The sequence below is a fragment of the Homo sapiens genome, chromosome 4, assembly GCF_000001405.40.
Source record: "Homo sapiens chromosome 4, GRCh38.p14 Primary Assembly".
Taxonomy (NCBI): Eukaryota; Metazoa; Chordata; class Mammalia; order Primates; family Hominidae; genus Homo; species Homo sapiens.
In genome coordinates, this window is record NC_000004.12 from 80,863,587 (window position 1) to 80,886,688 (window position 23,102).

Genomic DNA, 23,102 nt, shown 5'->3' on the forward strand with positions numbered 1-23,102 from the left:
TGTGTCTTGATATTTCTTCATTGCTTGTTCATGTGGGGATTTTTTACATGGTTAACCAAAAACTAGTATTTTCTGCTTAGGTTGCCAATAAATAGATCCGTATTCATGGCTTCAAATGAATAGCATGTGATTTTTTTAATGCTTTTGTTGGTTGTACCTTGACTTGTTCTAGATAGGATTAAAGGGTTTTATCTAAGGAAAATATGAATTTTGGAAGTTTTTCCTTTATAAACATAGCATCATCATTTTTAAAAGCCTTTTAATATATAAAGTATCGTTTTCATGTGTCTTTTGGGAAATTAACTGTGATTAAAAATGTTATTAGAATGAAAAAGATCATATATTGTATGATTCCACTTTTATGAAAAATCCAGAAAAGAGACTCTATAGAGATAGAAAGTAGATTAGTGATTGCCTGGGGCTGGGGGTGGAGATAGGGATGGCTACAAATGTCATAAGGGATCTCTTGGGAGTGATGAGAATATTCTAAATTGGAGTTGTATTGTGCAACTCCATAAATTTACCAAAAATCATTGAAATCACTTAAACTTCATTGTGAATTTTTATGTTAAGTAAACTATACTTAAATAAAGCTTTTATTTAAAAATGTTTTTAGTTAAACCTAAGCAATTATTTATAACATTTTAAAATTATTCTTAAGTCTATAGGGCTCTGAATAACAAAGCTTTCAGTTACTGAAATACATCACACTCAGGCTGAAATAAACCTAATTCTTCAAGGGGCTCTTTTGACCTATTTGCCCCATTCTGGATGCCACAATAGTGGTTTTATTGTCAATTGGGTGTGTCTTGTATATATGTGTGTGTATGTGTATATATATAGGTATATATATATATATATACCTATATAAGTATATATATACCTATGTGTATACATATATACACATATATATACATATATACCTATATATACGTATATATACATATACGTATATATAGGTATATATATATAATAACTAAAACGTTTGTTTCAATTTTAGCTTCAAATTATATAAAAAGTTTTAACTGTGAATAACTAAACTTAAGAAAGAAACTGAACCATGTATGGCAACCCTAACATAACTATATACACCAGGCAATGGAATTCTGATATGATTATTCCATTTCCATATCCCCTAAGGAATTTATAAAACTCTTAACATGCTACAAATACAATAGCAACATTAATGACAAAAGTTTTCAAAAGCAATAGATATTATTTATTGAGTGCTTACCATGTATCAGGCATTACCAAGGGCTTAGCAAAATAGTGTTATTTAATTCACACACCAATTTAGGTATTATTATGCCCATTTTATTATAGAGGAAACTAAATTTTAAAATGTATTACTAACTTACCAGTGTCACACAGTAAGTAGGTGACAGAGCCAGCATTTGAATCCAAGTCTATCCATCATGCAGTAGATAAGAACCTGAATATCATGGGAAGCCAAGCTGGGTGTGAGTTTGGATGCTCCCCTCTCTAGCTACATATCCTTGGGAGTTACCAAAACTCTCAATGCTTTCATCTCCCACATTTATAAAATGAGGGTAATAATGCTATCTAGCCATAATAAAATGTTTGAAACAATTAAATGAGATAATGAATGTGAAGCTTTTAAAACTTCACTCAGAATATAGTGGCTTCTTAATAAACGATAACAAGTATTCATAGAAGAAATAATTACTATTAACTCTGGAGCAAAATATGCATTTTGAAATGAATACACAATTAACTGAGACTGTTAGTTTAACTTCATTCAAATTCTTAGGCAATCCACAAAATATAAATAAGGCAGTGAAATTTCAACCAACCCTCAAGTTCTTGACAACTATTAATATCTGCCACCACATCTGTCTGATTATCAGTGTTATCATTTCTTCTGCCTCTATAACCCTCAACTGTGCCATTTAAAAGATGTATTTCTAAAATTAAATGTTTAGTTGTAATTTCCTGACAATTTGTCAGCAATTACTACATACTAATAATTCCAATCGGATTTTAAAAATAATTTAATAAAGCATTGTGTTCATTAGAAAAATATTTTATTTTAGCAAACTTTTTAAAAATTTCACTAAAAAGTCTTCTTAAAAATCTTCCCAAGTCTTTGTAGATTCTGTGGCACATATACACCATGGAATACTATGCAGCCATAAAAAATGATGAGTTCGTGTCCTTTGTAGGGCCATGGATGAAGTTGGAAACCATCATTCTCAGCAAACTATGGCAAGGACAAAAAACCAAACACCACATGTTCTCACTCACAGGTGGGAATTGAACAATGAAAACACTTGGACACAGGGTGGGGAACATCACACACCAGGGTCTGTTGTGGGGTGGGGGGAGGGGGGAGGTATAGCATTAGGAGATATACCTAAGGTAAATGACGAGTTAATGGGTTCAGCACACCAACATGGTACATGTATACATATGTAACTAACCTGCACCTTGTGCACCGTAGAACTTAAAGTATTATATATATATATATATATATATATATATATATATATCTTCCCAAATCTTCTTATACTTTTACACATATGTAACCATACTTGGAAAGACATAATGAGGGAATTTACATTTGTTCTATGCAGGTTTGTGTGAGAACAGCCACAGGTGATTATCGTTTTTGCATTTAGAAGCTTAGGTTTAAAAAATTTAATTGGGCATTTTCTGGTTGAAAATTTAAAAAAATCATAGATACAATGATTAATAACCAGAATTCTAATTGAGAAAATAAACAACAGTATTTGCATGATGTTTACAAATTGGGTGCTCAGGGCAGATGACCCTGACAGCACATGAATGTAAGCTAAGCAGTTCCAGGCAGGCAGGGAGTCTCTGTTGCTCTACATACTTAAAGGAGAATCATGAAGAAAGAGGCTGCTCAATGGCCAAACTAGTTAAATGCTCAGGTTTAAGCAGGATTCTGTTGTTTTGTTTGTTTTTGTTTTGCTTTGTTTTTGGTAGAAACTTGCTGGATTTTTCAGGAAGGTGCTTAAGAGCACAGAACTAATGAATCTAAGTGAGACATTGAGAGTAGTTTGAGTGACTTGCCCAGGGCTGTATACGATGATTCTAGAGGGACCCGCACTTATAGTCCGCTTGACCTCACTTAAAGTCCTCCAGCATCAGAAAACCAAGAATTCACAAAAATCACAGAGCAGACATTTAACTCTCACAGAGCTGGAGAAGTGATATTTGAAATAAATTTAATCAGGTTTCAGGGAAAAGGGGATTTAACTGACCCAAGAAGGCTATATATAGTAACATAAAATAGTGAAATTATGGCCAAATGTATATAATTTTAGATTATCAGTCATTTTACTTACAAGAACAATGAAGTGTAAAGAAATTTTGGTATTAGCTTATGATAAACACCAAGACTTCACGTTTGTTTTCAAGTTCTTTAAATCGACATCAATTTTATAATTTTTATGTATTCATTTTCTGCTTAATCTAGAAATAATGGCAGTGAATTCATCAAGGTGATCATGAATTGTCTATATGTTCTTCTAGTTCTATCAATTTGTGCTTTAAATATCTTGAAACTTTGTTTTTAAAGGTTCACTCAAGTTTTGAATTGTATGTTTTTCTATGACATTAACCTTGTATCATTATGTAGTGAAGCTCCATCCCTAGTAATGGTTTTTATGTGAAAATCCATTTTGTCTAATATTAGTATACTGATAACTGCTCTTTTTGGATAAAAACTCTCCCGTATGTATGTTTTTTGATCACTTAACTTTCAACCTTTAAGTGTTATTGTGTTTCATGATATATGATACATATATATATTCTAATAAGCTTGTTTTTAACTTAAACATTTAGTTATTTATACTTATTACAAATACTTGATTATTTTAACTTATTATAATCTGTGTGAGTTTGCTAAGGCTGACACTACAAAATACCCCAGACAACGCCTTAAGCAACACAATTTTACTTTCTCACAGTTCTGGAAGTTGGAAGTCCAAGATAATTGAAGGGGTTGGCAGATTTGGTTTCTTAGGAGGGCTGTTTTCCCTTTCCTTGCAGATGGCCATCTTCTTGCCGTGTCCTCACATAGTCTTGACTCTGTGCACCTGCACCCTGGCATCTCTCTGTGTGTCCACATTTACACAATCAGCTTGGATTAGAGCCCACCCTAAAAAGCTCATTGTAATGTATTCACATTTCAAAAGGCTCTGTCTTCAAATACAGTCACCTCTGTGGTACTGGAGTTCAAGGTGTCAACATATGAATTTGGGGAGGACACAATTGAACCCATGGCACTATCTTTACATTTTGTGTATTTTATTTTTCCTAACTCTTCTATAATTTTCCTTTTCATTATTGCCTTCTATTTAATTGGTTGATTAACTTTATATATCCCACTATAATTTAAAGGTCATATATACTATTTCTTATTTATTAATAATCATCCTAGATTTATACACACATATGTATCAAATTCTAAAATTGATCAATACATCTGCCCTCATTCTGGAAAATTCCAGAACATCACAACACTTTAATCACTCCCTCCAAACATACAAGTTTATTTCAAACATTTTAAACATATTATTCTTTTTATTTAAGAAGCCATTATTGTTGTTTTATACAGTCAATATTTGTTTCTATGTACCTCTATATTTGCAACTTTCTTTGATTATTATTTTTTCTTTATCTTTGACTTGACAGCTAGAATCACTTCCTTTTGCCTGAAATATATCCTGCAGAATTTCTTTGAGCAATGATCTGATGTTAGTCAAATCCCTCATTATTGTTTTGGTCTGAAGATGTTTATATTTTGCTCACTGGAAAGAATTTTCCCTGGCGTACTGTTCCTGGATAATTCTTTTATTTTCTGGATTCACTGAAGATAGTACTTCATGCATTTTTGATTTCTCAGCTTTCTGTTGAGGCAATAAGTTCTATGCGCCTCTATCTCTGAAAGGGTAGAATTTGTTTCCTGCATCCTCACCCCACAAGGTCATGGAAACCTTGCTTGAATTCCCTGAGGTTGGGCAAATGCTTTCAGAACAAAGATTATTTTAAGGCCCTGCTCTCCTCTCTGGGTTCCTGCTTTCACTTAGTTTTTGGACTCTGAATATTTCTTTTCCTTGCCAGGGCATCAATGCATTTTACAAGTTATTGTTTTAGATTTTATTCAGAATTTTTATTTGTTTTTAGTAGGAAGGTCAGTCACAATATCTAGTCTGCCATTCTGCTGGAGAAATAAGTTTGGTTCATCTCTCATTTAAAGACAGTGGGGAGGATATTTGGGATATTTTTCTTTTTCTGTAATATAATTCCATGGGTGGGGGCTTCTCTCTCTGTGTGTGTGTGTGTGTGTGTGTGTGTGTGTGTGTGTGTGTGTCCCAATATGACATAACTGACATTGGGAGCAAGCTTGATGGTGAAAAGATGTCCAGCACCTTTAGGAATGAATATGAAATTATGAAATATTGAGAATTATAGCTCATGTTCTTGTTTAAGGAGGCGCAGCCTTGCTAGACATTGGTCTGTAGTGTGAGTCGCAAGAAGTCTCTGAGTTACCATTTGTTTATAATTTGTGCTGCATAAATTAAGAAATAAGTGGCTTAAAAGCATGGAGAAATTGATACTAATTTACATGGAGTTATGTGGGCAAAATGAAAAGGGCTGAGGATTGAAGTCTGTATAAGAATGCACCCAGGAATAACAAAGAATGCTAGTTTCTCCTGCCATATCTGTAGGATATATAACTAATCCATCACAACACTTTCTCCCCTTAACCAAGAACTTGCTTGAGAATCCTTTTCAGCACAGTATTCTCAGCATTCAGTGTTAAACAATCAGAGAAGGCAATCAAGATAAAGCTATCAGCATAATAACAACTAATTGTTAATTGTATCTCTGTTGTTCTTTTCGTTTTTCAACTGGAATATTGCAATATTGTTAGTACTTTTCTTTTTTCTTTGGAGACGGAGTCTTGGTCTGTCACCCAGGCTGGAGTGCAGTGGCACGTTCTTGGCTCACTGCAACCTCTGCTTCCTGGGTTCGAGCGATTCCCCTGCCTCAGCCTCCCAAGTAGCTGGGATTATAGGCGCCCTCCACCACGCCCGGCTAATTTTTTGTATTTTAGTAGAGATGGGGTTTCACCATGTTGGCCAGGATAGTCTCGATCTCCTTACCTCGTGATCTGCCCGCTTCGGCCTCCCAAAGTGCTGGGATTACAGGCGTGAGCCACGTGCTGGGCGAGTAACATGTGTTTTTAGGTGCAGTGGGGAAAAAGAAGCTGTTCAATGTTATAACCACTCTTTCAGAAGCCCTGCTTCCTATGGTCACTCATATTAGTGTTTTACATCATTCTATCCTATGGCATTCCATAATAAATCAGCTCTTTTATATTTTTGTCTTATTCTCTATTCTGTGCTACCAGTCCGTGATCTTTATTCGTGACAGAAATTCTCATGGGCAAGAGATATCAGGATACATCGACTATGCCCACAGGCTAAAGACGGAAGATTTTGAAGTCTACTTTACTGGAAAAAAAAGACTTCTTCCAAGGCCTACAGATATAAGGTAAATTACATACAATTTTTGCACCCTTAGAGGCAGGGACAAAGACTTTTTATTTTATGGTCTACATTGTGCCTAAAATGCTAATGTATATATAACAGGAATGTGATATAACTGGTTATTAATATGAAAATAACTAAATCTTAAAATAAGGAATAAGCATAGATGCATTGTTTTTCCTTTAACAGCCTGAGAAAAAGGATTCTTCAGAGACAAGATAAGTAAATTCCCAGTGACATTCCTTTTTAATGATAAGTAGTGCCTAAATTTTGTTAACCTCATGAGGCTTTTGCAGCACTTGGGACTTGGTCTGTCCAGAAGCCTCAAGAACTGCTCATCTAACATGTTTTCCTCCACTTTTCTTTGGTCACCAGCCAAAGTGCTGGCCCCTGATCAGCTCACCCTCATTTCTCTCATCTCTGTCCTATTCTGGGACACCCATTCCTTAACACCCATCATTCTTTTTACTACCAATGCTTGCCTTTTATTCTAGAACCCTTATCTATCACCTAGCATCTACCCTACACTGCCAATCTATTCACAGATGGGTTCTTCTACTCCCTTCTAAATAGCATGCAAGCTAAAACTTTTTATTCCCTCTTACTTAACTATAGAACCCCAAAATTAAGTAGCAGCATTATGCTTTAACTCTCCACTGCTGTATTCAGATCATTATTTGATGATTATAACAATACCTACCTCCTCTGAGATGCCTGTTATCCTCTATCCACCCTTACTGATATTATCTGAAGACTTCCTTATCCATCACCTTTTTTTGATTTGTTTGTTTTTGAGATGGAGTCTCGCTCTGTCGCCCAGGCTGGAGTGCAATGGTGCAATCTTGGATCACTGCTACTTCCACCTCACGGGTTCAAGCAATTCTCTTGTCTCAGCCTCCCATGCAGCTGGGACTACAGGCACATACCACCACGTCTGGATACTTTTTGTATTTTTAGTAGAGACAGGGTTCCACCATATTGGTCAAGCTGGTCTCAAACTCCTGACCTCAGGTGATCCACCGGCCTCAGCCTCCCAAAGTGCTGGGATTACAGGCGTCAGCCACCGAGCCTGACTCCCATCTCCACTGTAATGGACTTAGCTCTTTCCTGTCCTACCTAGGATAACATTTCATTTAACTTCTCTCTTGCAGTAATGCCCATTGCCCATGTCTTTTTGATTTTTGGTTGTATCTGACCTACTAACATTCCAAAGTCAATCGATCCACACATTTTTTTCACTGCACTTGTAGCTACCCCACTGGGTACTGCTGAAGGAAATTTTAGGAAATTTCACAAAACTGTGGATTGCTGTGCTAATAACTTATGGTTTCCAAACTCAATTGAGTCCTTTATGATTCTTAAAACTTATGTTCAAAATTAAATTCATTTTAATTCCTGAAGCCTGCTATTGCTTCTGTGTCACCTGTCTTGGCAAATGGCATCACCCTTGAAACCAAAGGCAAAATCCAGATGTTATCCTAGACCTCTTGTTTTTCATCACCACCTTTATAACTAATAATTTATTAAAAACACTGAATTCTATTATCTTAGCAGCTTTGTTTTGTTAAAGCAAATTTAAGATATCTCATTTCACCTGCAAACACTTCAGCATGGATCTTTATCTGATACCATTTTTAAAGAAAACATCTTGGCATTATCATACCTAACAAAATACTTTCCTTAATGTCATCTAATACCTAGTTCACATTTCATTTTCACCCTTAATAACATTTAATTGACTGTCTAATTTATTTTTTATAGTTTGTTTGACCAGTCAAAATTCAAGTGATTTTGTGTTTTGTCTTACTATATCTTGACCTCTTGCATGCTTTTTTTTTTTTTTACAACAGTCCCCCTCATTCTTTTTATCTTCTACGCTATTGATTTGTTGGAGAAACCAGGTCCTGATAAACATTGTCCTCAAATGTCTCACATTCTGGATTTTACTGATCCAGTAAAATCGTGCTGTTTATTCTACTATCTATGTTCCTCTATTCCCTATAAACTGATTTGATTAAATGCAGTATAATTTTTTTCTAAGTAAGAAATTTTAATATGTGATGCTCTGTACTGACTATCGCCCCAGTTTTAGATCTCCTGAGCTCGATCAGTAGGTTCAAGTGGTGTCAGTCTAATTACTTCATTACAAGATTTTCCATAAAATTTCACCCAATGGTGTTAGCATCTATTATTGAAAGCTACCTAAATGTTTTTACTAAGGGTTGAATAATGGTGAATCTATAATTATATTATTTATCCTGAATTTTTTAACTTGAATTCTTCTATAGAGAAAAACTTTTCCTTATCACTTATTTGGTTACCTTGAAATAAATTCCTGCAGAAATACAAAATAAATATTTTTTTCATTTATAGAAAATTTGAAGCCAGAAACACAAAAGAGTGTAGAGATTATACCAAATTATTTTTCAGAGTAGTTGTATCATTTTGTATCCATGAGAAATACTGCATAAGTGATCTGGTTATCCCTCATCCTCACCAACACAAGATATTAACAAACTGTTCTTTCCCACTGTAGTGAGTTATAAATGATCTCTCAATGTGGTTTTCATTTTTATTTACTTGATTATTTATTAGATTGGGTATCTTTTATTGGCTGTTCAGATTTTCTTTCTGTGAAGTACCTATTAAGATTTTTCCCTGTTATTTCAAGTGAGCTATTCTTTTTCTTGCAAATTATAAGATTCGTTTTATTTATTTTTGGATATTGATTAATCCTTTGCCTCTTATGTGTATTTCAAAATATCATCTCTCTGTGTGTAGTTCTTCTTCTTTTTTTTTTTTCATTGATTTTGATGGTCAGAAATCAGAAGTTCTGATAGTCATCTTAATGCATTTTAAACTTTACCTCTGCAGTTTGTGCTTTTGTATTTTGTTTAATAAACCCCATCCTTTTTGGAAGTCATAAATATACTGTCTTATAGGATATTATAGTTTTGCTTTTGATTTTATATCTTTAACTGCCCAGTATTAATATAGCATATGGTAGTTAGGCAGTTGTTATTAGGGGAAAAAGTCCCTTAGGTGTATGAAGTTCCATACTTAGTTTGATTCAGAACTAAAGCCAAAATTTAAAATTAAATATTTCATAAAGTCTCTATATCCTTACCTTTTAGCATGGTCTTTTATTCTATGCAGAGACAAACATTTTGTGGCTATGATTAGAATCTGGTCTTGCATTTTTACTGTGGAAAATATAAATGTCAATAGACAGCTGCTACTATTATGAAATGTAGCAGTAGAAAGGGCCCTGACCAAACTGGCAATCTTTTCAATTCAGCTTCCATCTTAACTATGTCTTTAAGATTCAGTACTTTCTTTTTGACACACTTGTGAGTAATTATAAGTGGATAGCAGGTTACAATTTCAAGTTCCTTCACACTTCCCTGTTGATATGGGCATGACAAGCATTATTCTTACCATCAGAGAGAGGAAAAGATAAAGAGTAAACCACTTACTAAAGTTCATAAGTGAAACACTGATGAGACAGGACAAGTTCTTCAGCATTCTAATTCACTGTTCACCTCTAGAACACTATTCCTGGTTTAAGCTTTTATATCCCAAGGACAACTGTACCATGTAGAATCACTTATAAGCTCCGCATATATTTGCATACATTTCCATGTTTATGCATGTGTTGAACAAAGATCTAAGGCTTGCCTATAGAGCTCTACCCATCCCTCAGATAGGATAATCAAGAGGAAATGAAAAACTTTTCTTTGTGTTTCTTTTTAGAGCTTCCATGAAATATTCATACCCTTGACCAGAAAATGACCTTAAATACTAAAGCTTTGAAAGGTATTATTGTCAAATTTCCCTTGAAGTCCCATTGTCTGTTTTATTAAAATGTTTAACGTTCCAAGCCCCTGAAGTTAGAATTATATGCACTTATCCTGTGCTTAAGTGCATTCTTCTGAAAGCATTCTGGTAACATATTGGCTGATTCTCAAGTTTAAAAAGGAAAAAATAAAGCAGTAAATGAACCCAGGGTTTCTACAAATAGTATTAAAATATTGCCTATTTTTAAAGTTATTAATGCTTTTCCAAATTCGAATATGGTGATTGTTCATTAGAATATTAGTTTAGTCTGTTCAGCAGATATTCACTGAATTTGAAAGAGGGGGAAATACTTTGAGCGAAAACCTACTAACTAAAGGAGACTTGCCGCAACTACCTAGCTCCTTGATACGCAAAGTATAGTCCATGAACCCACAGTGAAGCATCTCAGGTTCTCTTCCAACCACTGAGTTAGAATTAGTATATTAACATGATCCTCAATATTTCCATATGCTTATTTGTCTTAGTTTGTGCTGCTATAACAAAATACCACAGACTGTGTAATTTATAAACAATAGAAATTTATTTATCATGGTTTTGGAGGCTGGAAAATCCAAGACCAAGGTGCTGGCAGAATTGCCATTTGGTGAGGCCTCCTTTCTGCTTCCAAGATGGTGCCAGAAAAGGGCTTAAACTAGTTCCCTCCAATTTCTTTATAAGGCACTAATCCATTTCTGAGGCAGAAGTATCATGACTTAATCACTTTCCAAAAGCCCTACCACTTAATACACCAGTTTTAACATAAATTTTGGAGGGGACACATTCAAACCATAGCAATATTAAATTTTGAGAAGCATGCCCTAGACTGGTGCTCTCTAGTAGGGTAGCTACTACCCGCATATGGCCACCGAGTACTTGATGTATGGTTAACCTTGAATTAAGATGTACTGTGAGTGTAAAATGCACACTTGATTCTGAAGACTTCTCATAAAAATATAAAATGTCTTATTAGTAATTATTATTTCATGTTAAAATAATAATGTGATAGATATTTTGAGTTATAAAATACATTATTAAAATAATTTTACCTATTTCTTTTTATTTGTTTTTAATGCGACTACTAGAAAATTCAAAAATACATCTGTGGTTCACATTGCTGGCTCATATCGTATTATATCTCCATTAAGCAACACTCTTCTGGTCTACTTGTCCCCAACCCAGAGGCTCAATCTCACCCCAATCTTTAGAACCAGTACTAATCTTAGATAGGTATGATGTAAAAAGCCAGAAACCAGAGATCAGCAATTAGTCATTGGACCAGATCTGCCTGCAGAATTGTTTATTTGGCCTGCACAATTGTATGTAAAATTGTGTCAATGTTTCAGAAACAAAAAATTTCCCACAAAATATCTTGGACTTGAAATTTTCTTTAAACTTATAAGATCTCTCATCTTGCCGGGCGCGGTGGCTCACGCCTGTAATCCCAGCACTTTGGGAGGCCGAGGCGGGTGGATCACAAGGTCAAGAGTTCGAGACCACCCTGGCCAACATGGTGAAACCCCGTCTCTACTAAAAATACAAAAAAAAATTAGCTGGCCATGGTGGCAGGTGCCTGTAATCCCAGCTACTTGGGAGGCTGAGGCAGGAGAATCGCTTGAACCTGGGAGGCGGAGGTTGCGGTGAGCCAAGATCGCGCCATTGCACTCCAGCCTGGGCAAAAAGAGTGAAACTCTGTCTCAAAAAAAAAAAAAAAAAAGATCTCTCATCTCAACTGTCATCCAGAATTAAACTGCAGCTGCTTCCTCAGATGGGGCATATTTTTACTAGATTAACACAGACTTCACTAACCACATATAGTGATACCACCATCACCCTTGAGTTACTCATGCATAGTACCTGCTAGCTTCTTTTAGGCATTTGAGTTTGTGACTTCTGGTTTAAACTGCTATCTTAGATTCTAGAGGTCATATTTTCTGTTAGCCTAGTCATGATATTCTTTGCTCACCCACTACGTGTGAGTTTATTTCAGCCCTTGGTCTCCCTCAGGTTGTTCCATACCGTGGTTACAAGGTTGAACTGCGTCAGTCTGAGATGATTATGATGATGATTTAAAAACAATGATGATGTTAACTGAGCACTTACTGTGCATAGTACTAATTAATAACTAAAGCACTGTACTAAATAATTTATATATTACATATTATATATAAATATTATATATTACATTTATAAATATTATATTATATATAATATTTCATTTTCTCTTTACAACAACCTTATAGGTTAGGGACCTGATATGGTTTGGCTGTGTCACCACCCAAATCTCATCTTGAATTGTAATCCATATAATCCTCACATGTCACGGGAGGGACCTGATGGAAGGTAATTGAATCATGGGGGCAGTTTTCTCCATACTGTTCTCAGGATAGTGAGTGAGTTCTCACAAGATCTGATGGTTTTATAAGCAACTGGCATTTCCCCTGCTGGCACTCATTCTCTCTCCTGCTTTCCTGGGAAGAGGTGCCTTCTGCCATGATTGTAAGTTTCCTGAGGCCTCCCCAGCCATGTGGAACTGTAAGTTAATTAGACCTCTTTTCTTTATAAACTTCCCAGTCTTGGGTGTTTCCTTATAGCAATATAATAATGGACTAATACAAGACCTTTTTCACATTTTAACACTTAAAAAACCTGTATCATTAAAGTGTTAGCTGGCTTAACCAAAGTTATATACAGACACATACATATGTACAACCAGAAATCCAGGACCAAACAGAGATCACTGCCATTATTTTTTTTAATTCAGTACATTATTCCATTTAAGACTTTGACATGTAAAGATGTCACTTTTGACCTCAAATCCATATCCCAATCCTTCCCAGGTCATATTTTTTTTTGTCAGAAGTGTGTCTCCTGTGACAAGACCTAATTTAGGAATATTTTTCAGAACTTTAAGCAATCCTGCTGTCCACAGTTAAGACTAGGAAATTTTGGCCATCCTGTACCCACCCTTGCCACTTCCTTCTTTCATTGAGCTTGGCAGAAAACACCCCTTTGTACTTAACCAGGCTTTCATTTTCAGTCACTGTGAGTAAGAATTATAGTGTCCCCACAGCTTTGTGTGTGGAAGAGCTCTGAACAGAATTAAAAGTGACCTGTAATTGTGGTTTCAGCCTAAAAGTCTTTAGGGAAACATTGGCCCTGACTTGTTGAACCTCAGTTATGTCCCAGGATACTTTTAGAATCTACTCATATCCTCTGAACTGTGGTTCAAAAAAATTTTGTAATATCTACTTGGAATTCTTTTACAGATAAATTTAATTTTCCAATACTTAACTCATTTTAGCTTCTCTTTATTCCAAGCTAAATATTAAGTACTGTCTCTCATGGAAAATTCAGAAATAGAGCAGAGATCCCAAAAGCCATATACTGTGCATATAACCCATAAACTAGGACTAACAATTCCTACTGAATCCTTACTAGAGTATCTGTCTGTGTCATCTAATGACAGAAATTATTCATGCACAGTTTGGTCCATTGCTTTAAAAGAAAAAGTCAGAATCCCAGAGCAATCACTTGGTAGTTTCTTTAGTTGTCTAGAATGTGTTTCCTTGAAGATTGTGTCTCTGGATAAACCTTAAGTGAATAATTAGAGATCTCACAAAACCTCTAGTTTATTGACACTGACTGTGGTTAAGACAGGATTACTCTACATAAGATTTTTTCCAACTTTTTAAAATTTTTGGTCAAAAATACACAACATAAAATTTCAGTTTAACCGTTTAAAGTGTACAGTTGAGTGACATTAAATACATTCAAATTTTTGTGCAACTTTTTCAACTTTTTATTATTAATTTTTTTTAAGTTTTGGAAAAGTTCAAAGAATAGTACAATGAAGGCTAATATACTCACAACCTAGACAAAACAATTGTTAACATTTTTCCAAACTTGCTTCAATTCTCTTTTGGTATTTTGGTGTGTGTTTATTTGTGTCTATGTTTGTACTATTTGAAAGTAGCTTACAGATTTCACCTTAAAATATTTCATCTTGCGTCTCATGAGTATAAGGACATCCTCCTACATAACATCACCATTATTTTAGATAAAAATTCATAATTATTTTCTACTGTCATCTAATGTTTAGCTCATATTTAAATTTTCTTAAGTATGTCCAAAATGTATTATAGCTACTTGTGTGAATCATCATTCAATGTATAAAAATTACATTGCTTGTGTCTCTTTACTGTCCTTTTCTTTAAAAGAGCACCTCTCTCCATACTTCCCAGCCAAATATTCTTTTCTTTGTGATGACATTGACGTTTTAAAAACACAGGACCCTTGTCTTTTAGATTGTTCCACATTCTGAACTTGTCTGATTGTTTCCTTGTGGTAATATCTGACTCATTTCTCTTATCTGTGTATTTTCTTTATACTGGGAGATAACTCTAAAGGCTTCATTTTGTTCAGTATAAATATTTCTTTTAGACAAGAACTTCTCCATTACATATTGCATCATATCAGGAAGCACCTAATGTCAAGTTGTCTCATTATCAGTGATGCTCAGTTTGACCTGTTGGTTAAAGAAGACTTGCTATATCATTCCTCTAAAAAGATATATTTTCCTTTTTTAACAAAATTTAATACCTAAACTAGTATGAAATAACTTTTGTGTATTTATGTAAGCCTACTTGTTTTTCTGTTTTTTTCTTTAAAATTTACATTTTACAAGAAAGTATATTAGTAGCAAATTAACTTTGCTTTCCACAGTTATTTTCATTTAATTTTCTAAATTAGAAGAAAGGATAGTACTTGTGAAAACAGAATTTAAGTAGAGTTAAAGCTGTAAGTGGAGCTTGCAGGAATTGTACACAACTTTCAATGTAGAAATAAGCTATGCACCAAAATTAAATTGTTTATTGTTTAGAACTCAGAATCATTTTCCTTGAGATATTGTCTTATCAGAGATAGTTTGTCAGGTCATGTCACAAATTTTCAAACCCATTATTTCCATGGAAAACTTAATTTTATTTTATGTGGCAAAAATAAACTTGAGGACATTAAATAAATATTTCTACTGTCCTATAGCTTCCCTATCTCATCTCTTATGATGACTGTATCATTTGGGTTAATAAAAGAAATAAGGATGCACCATGATCATTATTCTTTAGATAACATTTCCATGGGCACCACACAATAAAATCACTAAGGTAAATGATGCTTCAGGGGACACATTTCACCCTCTGGGGCATCAGGAAATATCAGTTCCTATTCTTGGAGTACATGTAACTCAGTATATTTCAGGAAGAATTTGTGCAGTGGTCCAACATTAGCAACTTCAGTAGCCCTATAAGTCTAGTGATAATTGGAAATCTAAAATCTAGAGATGCTTAAGTACAAACCCCACAAATGAAGAGAGAAATAATTAGCTTGCTTATGGACAACAGGGTAGATGTAACAAAAATGGGACTAGATCTTAGGTCTCCTAATCCCTAGTCCAATTTTTTTTTAACATTCCAGCATGCTGTATATTTATCTATTCTTTGATTGCCTGACCATTACACATTAGAAGAATTACATGTTAATTTAGCTGTAGAAGTGACAGTATAATGTTAACTTGTTGGTTACTTGGATCTAAAAATCTCATCTCTGTATTTTCATTTGTTTTTAACACTCGGCATTTTTACTTTCAATCGAAATTTATGTTTAATTTTTATTTATTTTTTACATATTATTTTTAAAGAGTGTGAGTGAAGCAGATAAGCCCTCAAGATGTGTAATTTTAATTAATGAACATACTTTACAATCTGTTAACATGTGTATGCACCACTGTGCCAAAATTTAATGAAATGGGTTAATGGCACTTATTAAAGTTGTTCGGCTTCTCTAGTCATAACACAGAATTCAACCTTTTCCTCCATTTCTTATATTCAAATAAATAAAGTGATAAATGAGTCTAAGCATGAAAAGTCAAGTCAGTCAGAATGCCTACATACCTTCTTATTATTTCCTATAATCTGTCTTTACTATCATTCATGCATTTGGAGGTCTACAAAGTCAGACCTTTGGGATTCTATTGTTTAAATTCCAGGATAAACTGAGTACCAAAGTCCTTTGACTGTGATGCACTGTCAAGAAAGTTCAGAAAATGAACATAAAAAATGAAGAATGGGAAAAAGAAATGAGGAAAGAAAGGAGAAACAGGAGGAGGGAAGCGGGGAGAAAGGGGGGGAGAGAATCTATTCAAACAAGAAAGGAAGGAGGGAAGAGAGGATGGAAATGGCTTGAAGTTCATGAAAACACCTCCAAATTAGGAAGTCTTCTTGAATGCCTTTTGTATAAATACATGAAATGAGTTCATTTAAATAAGAATTATTGCTTTGAGAGAAGGTGGGGGAATGTCAGCAAGACAGAAAAGTAGAAAGCCATAGCTTTTATTTCTCCAGAAAAAAAAAATGTCAATATAACAACAGTATTAGTACCAAAATATTTTGAGGAGAAATTCAGAATGCGGTTAAGAAATATAATCGTCCAGGTGTAGTGGCTCACGCCTGTAATCCCAGCACTTTGGGAGGCCGAGGCGAGCAGATCACAAGGTCAGGAATTTGAGACCAGCCTGGCCAATATGGTGAAATTCCATCTCTACTAAAAAAAAATTAGCCAGATGTGGTGGTGGGTGCCTGTAGTCTCAGCTACTTGGGAGGCTGAGGCAGGAGAATCACTTGAACCCAGGAGGCGGAGGTTGCAGTGCGCCAAGATCACACCACCGTACTCCAGGCTAGGTGACAGAGCGAGACTCCGTCTCAAAAAATAAAATAAAATAAAATAAAATAAAATTAAATTAAATTAAAATTTTAAAAAGATGAAATTTTACTTTATCCATGTGGGTTCTTCCCCAAAACAATCTTAGTTTAACACTGAGAAGCTTGCCTTAGTACATGATTTCTCCTATAGTGGGGAAAGTGAGATTGCAGTGTGTGCCTGGCCACCTAGCCTCCTGCCTTTGCAGGGTGCCCTTCTTGCAGCTGGATTCTTTTTGGCCTCGTACTGAGCACTGAACCACCTGTAGATGCCAGTCCTCTAAACAACTAGAAATAAAGGAAAGAGAAGAGAATTCCCTCACAGCCAGCATTGCTATTCAAGATAAGGAAAAGGCACAGAACTGAGGTTGTATCTCTAGGAGGAAAGGAAGAAAGTGAAGGGAATTCTATTGCAGGCATTTCAGAACCCTCTATGGAGTGAGGTTCTTTCTCATCTCATACTAAATGCTGAAGGACTGGCAGAGCCCAGTTCCAAGGAAAGGGGAGGGCAGCCCCTAACAGCTCTGTGAGATTGGAAATAAGGTGCATAACAGAGGTTCTTCCTCCAGAAAAGACAGAAAGAAGTGAAGGGGCCTTATCTCCTGCAACTCAGAGTGCCCTCCATGGAGCCAGTTTCTATCTTGCATCATAACAAGCACTGAATAACCAGCAGAGCTCAATCCCTGGAAAGGTATGCAACAAAGAAAGGAGACAAACATCGTCTTATAGCTGGCACTGCTCTATAAAATTGGAAAAAGCACAGAACTGAGGCTTTTCCTCCAGGGGGAAGAAAGTTTCCAGTAAGTTTCCAGCCTTACAGTGTGCTCCTTGTTGAGTTGGCCTCTATCTTGCCTCATATTAGGCACTATTGACCAGTGTGTATGCCTCTCTGAGTCTGGACTAGTACATAAAGCTTGGAAGAGGTATCTGCTTCTTTAAATGTACAGACAACAAAGTAAACCTACAAGGAATATGAAGAATTAAGAAAACATAACAAAATTTAAATAAGAAAACAATTTTTTAGTAACTAACCCAAGATAAATGGAGATCTGTGAATTGCAAAAGAATTCAAAATAATCATCTTAAAGGTGCTCAGTGAGTTACAAGAGAACGTGGATAGACAGCTGAACATAATCTGGAAAACAATAGATGAAATGTATGAGAAATTCAATAAGGAGATAGAAATGATGAAAAAGAATTAACCAGAAATTTTGAGGCAGAGGAACACCATAACCAAAATGAAAAATTTACTAGAGGCCTCAACAGCAGATTTTATCAGGCAGAATAAAAAATCAGTAGGTTTAAAGACAGGTTATTTTAAATTGTTCCATCAGAGGAGCAAAAAAAAAGAATGAAAAAGACTGAAGAAAGCCTAAGAAACTTATGCAGCTCTGCCAAGAGAATCAATATACGTGTTATGGAAGTTATAGAAGGAGAATAGAGATAAAAATTGGTAGAAAGTGATTTAAAGCAATAATGATGGAAAACATCCTCAGTCTCAAAAAGGAAATGGAAAGCTAGATTCATGAAGGCCAAAGGAACCCAAATAGGTTGAATTTAAAGAAGTCTACATAAAGATACATTGTAATCAAATTATAAAAGTCAAAGGAAAAGCAAAGTTCAAAGTGGTAAGTAAGGCCGGGCGCAGTGGCTCACTCCTGTAATCCCAGCACTTTGGGAGGCCGAGGCGGGCGGATTACGAGGTCAGGAGATCGAGACCATCCTGGCTAACACGGTGAAACCCCGTCTCTACTAAAAGTACAAAAAATTAGCCGGGCGCGGTGGCAGGCGCCTGTAGTCCCAGCTACTCCGGAGGCTGAGGCAGGAGAATGGCGTGAACCCGGGAGGCGGAGCTTGCAGTAAGCCGAGATAGCGCCGCTGCACTCAGGCTTGGGCAAAAGAGCGAGACTCCGTCTCAAAAAAAAAAAATTGAAAAAAAAAGTGGTAAGTAAAAAGTGTCTCATTACATACAAGATAATCACCATAAGACTATAAGTATACCTCTCAGCAGAAACTTTGTAGCACAGAAGAAAATGAGATAATATATTCAAAATATTAAAAGAGAAAAAACTGCCAACCAAAAATAATATACGAGCAAAGCTATCCTTCAGAAATGAAGGAGAGAGAAAAACTCTAAAACAAAAATTGAGAGAGCTCATTACAAGACCTGCCTTATTAGAAATGCTAAAGGGAATTCTTCAAGATGAAGAGGACACAAATAGATGCTGATTAGAAGCATGAAAATACATAAAATTATAAATCTCATTGCTTAAAATAAGGATATAGATAAAATATAATAATGGTGATGCATAAATCATGTTCAATTCATATAAAAGTTAAAAGACAAATGCATAACAATATAACTACAATAATTTGCTAATAAATATACAATATTAAAAGTTATACATTTTGACTCTAATAACATTAAGCATATGAGAGGAATGAAGAAGAAAAGTTGAGAGTTTTTGTATGTGATTGAACTTAAGTTCTTATCATGTGAAAATGGACTGTTATAACTAAAGATGGCATATATTAGCCTCACGGTAAACACAAATTAAACCTGTGCAAGATACAGAAAATATAAAGAGAAGGAATCAAAGCATACCACTATAAAAATCATGAAATCATAAAGAAAAACAGCAAGAGAAGAAGAAAGGAACAAAGAAACTACAAAATGTTCAGAAAACAACAAAATGACAATTAAAAGTCCTCCCTATCAATAATTACTATATATGTAAATAGTTAAATTTCCCAATCAAAAAAGTGGATGAAAGGATAAGAAAACATTATCCAACCATATGCTGCCTACAAACGACTCAGTTTACCTTTAAGGACACAAATAGGCTGAAAATGAATACATTTTCATGAAAAAAATGTTACATAAAGTAATAATTAAAAGAGAGCAGGAGTGTCTAATCTTATATTAGACAAAATAGACTTTATATAGAAAATTTTCACAAGGGATAAAGAAGTTCATAATAGAGTGATACAGAAGCGAATTAAGAGGATATAATTTTTTAAAATATGCACTCAGAGCTCTTAAATATATGAACCAAATATCAACAGATTTGAAGGGAGAGATAGCAATACAATAATAATAGAGGACTTCAATAGTCCACTTTTTTGTTTGTTTGTTTGTTTGTTTGTTTTTACTTTTATTTTAAGTTCAGGGGTACACGTGCAGGATGTGCAGGGTTGTTACATGTGTCATGGAGGTTTGTTGTACCAATTATTTCATCACCCAGGTATTAGGCCTGGTACTCAATAGTTATTTTTTCTGATCCTCTCCCTTTTCCCACCCTTCACCCTCCAGTATGCACTGGTGTGTGGTGTTCCCTTCTATGTGTCCATGTGGTCTCGTCATTTAGCTCCCACATATAAGTAAGAACATGAGGCAATTCTCCACTTTCAACAATGTACAGATAAAACAAAAATTCAGAAAGAAAACAGCAGACTTGAACAACACTATAGGTCAACTTTCCAACAGCAGCAGAATACACATTCTTCTCAAGTGCACAAGAAATATTCTTCAGGATAGATCATGTCAGGCCACAGAAGTGTCTCAATAAATTTTTTAAAATTGGATCAAGTTTCTTGTTCAAGCACAATATTATGAAACTAGATATAAATAGGAATAACTTTGGAAAAACCCACAAATAAGTGGAATATTAACAACACACTCCTGAAAACCAACAGGTAAAAGAATAAACCAAAAGGGAAATTTAAAAATGTCTTTAGACACATTTAAATGGTAATACACCATACCCAAATTTATGGGATGCAGCAAAAGCAGTTCCAAAAGTGTGTAGCAATAAACACCTACATTCAGAAAAAACAAAATATTTCAAATAACCTAACTTTACACATAGCAGAGGAAGAAAATAATAAAGAAAATTATAAAATAATAAAAATAATAAATTATATAGCGAATACCAAAAAAAAAAAAAATAGAAAAGAGCAACGAAACTAAGAGCTAATTTTTTATAAAAAATAAAATAAACAAAGTTGACATTCCTTTAGCTAGACCAAGAAATAAAGGAGAGAGGGTGGAGCAAGATGGCAGAATAGAACCCTGCATCATTCATCACCCCCATTCACTGGAACACCAAATTTTAACAAGTATCTTCACACATAAAAGCACAATCACAACTGTTAACAATTGTCACAAGAACCAAAACTCCGATAAGCAATCGCAGTATGTGGTTTTAATTTCTTATCGCTAAAAGAAGCATGGAAGAGGCTCAGAGAGACAGTCTTAATTGCCACCAGCATCCCTCCCCCATACCCCAGCAACAGTAATACCACTCAGAGAATCTGTGAGCTTTGGGGAGGGAGAGTTTAGTGACTGGGTGACTTTACATTGAACTCAGTGCTGCCCTATCACACGCAGCAGATAATAAGGACTTGCTGGGCTCAGCCAGTGCCCACACATGGAGGGAGTATTTGGACCAGCCCTAGCCAGATGGCAATTGCCCATCCCAGCAATTGGAACCTGACTTTCTCATCAGGCTCCACTACTACAAGCTGAAGTGCTCTGGGATTTTAGATAAACTTGAAAGGCAGTCTAGGACACAAGGACTGCAATCAATTCCTAGGCAATTCCTAGTGCTAGATTAGGCTTAGAGCCAGTGAACTACTGCGGAATGTGACCTAGGGAGACACAAGATGTTGCAGCTATGGGAATGCCTGCACCATCCCTATCCTAATCCTGGGCAGTGCAGCTCACAGCAACAAAAGTGACTCCTTCCTCCTGCCCAAGGTCAGGAGAGAGAAAAGAGGACTTTGTTTTGCAACTTGGGTACCAGCTCAGTCACAGTGGGATAGGGAAACAGGCAGAGTCCTGAGGCCTCCATTCCAGGTTCTACCTCCTAGATGACATTTCAAGACACACCCTGGGCCAAAAGGGAACTAGGTACCTTGAAGGGAAGGACCCAGTCCTTGAAGGATTCATCACCTGCTGACTAAACAGTCCTTGGGCTGTGAATAACCAAAAGTGATACTCAGGGAGTATGCTATGGGGCTTGGGCACTGAGAAGTTCTGACTTCAGGGGTGACCCAACACATTCCCAGCTGTGGTGGCTACTGTGAAAGACTCCTTCAGAGGGAAAACTAAAGGGGATTTTGCCATGCACTTTAGGTACCAGCTCATCCACAGTGAGGTAGAGCAACAAGCAGGACCTTGGTGTCCCTGAGTCCAGGCCTATCCTCTTGGACAGCATTTCTGGACCTGCCCTGGGCCAGAGGGGAGCCCACTGCCTTGAAGGGTGAGTCCCAGGCCTGGTAACATTCACCACAAGCTGACAAAAGAGCCCTTGGGTTTTAAGTGAACATCAGTGGTGGCCTGGCAGAACACCCCACGGACTAGTGGTGGTAATGGGCACAGGGAGTGGCTCCTCTGCCTGTGGAAATGGGAAGGAAGAGCAGGAATCACTTTTTATTGTGGTTTGAGTGCTAGCTTAACCACAGTAGAATAGAATATCAGGTAAATTGCTAAGGTTTTTACTCCAATTCCTGGCTCCCAGACAGCATTTCTGAATGTGCCCAGGGCCTGGGGAAACTCTTTACTTTCAAGTGAAGGGCTTCGGGCAAAGCCCAGTTTTGTTCTTGCTTCAGATCTAACCCAGCACAGTTCCAATGATGGTGGCCACAGAGGTGCTTGCATCACCACACCCACAGTTCCACATAGTGCGACACAGAGAGAAACTTCATTTGTTTGAAAGAAAGTTAGGGAAAAACACAAGAGTCTCTGCCTGGTAATCCAGAGAATGTTTCCAGATTTTATCCAAGACCACCAACACAGTACCTGTTTGAGCCTGTAAAAATCACAGCACGATTGGGCTTGGGGCCCAAGTCCCTTTAAATATTTGGAAAGCCTTCCCAAAGAGGACAAGCACAAACAAGCCCAGACTATGAAGACAACAATAAATAATTAACTCATCAATGCCAAGGCACTGATGAGCATCTACAA

The 23,102-nt window shown here is 35.9% G+C and overlaps 1 protein-coding gene across 5 annotated transcripts in view; it reads left to right on the forward strand.

The window, feature by feature from the left end:
* Positions 1-23,102, forward strand: part of CFAP299 (cilia and flagella associated protein 299) — a 642,486-nt gene that overhangs the window by 542,322 nt on the left and 77,062 nt on the right. For all 5 annotated transcript variants that reach the window (XM_047449975.1, NM_001206997.2, NM_152770.3 and 2 more), the window contains one exon: positions 6,407-6,549. In XM_047449975.1, coding sequence (XP_047305931.1) covers positions 6,407-6,549 — 143 coding nt within the window. The remainder of the gene's footprint in view (positions 1-6,406; positions 6,550-23,102) is intronic.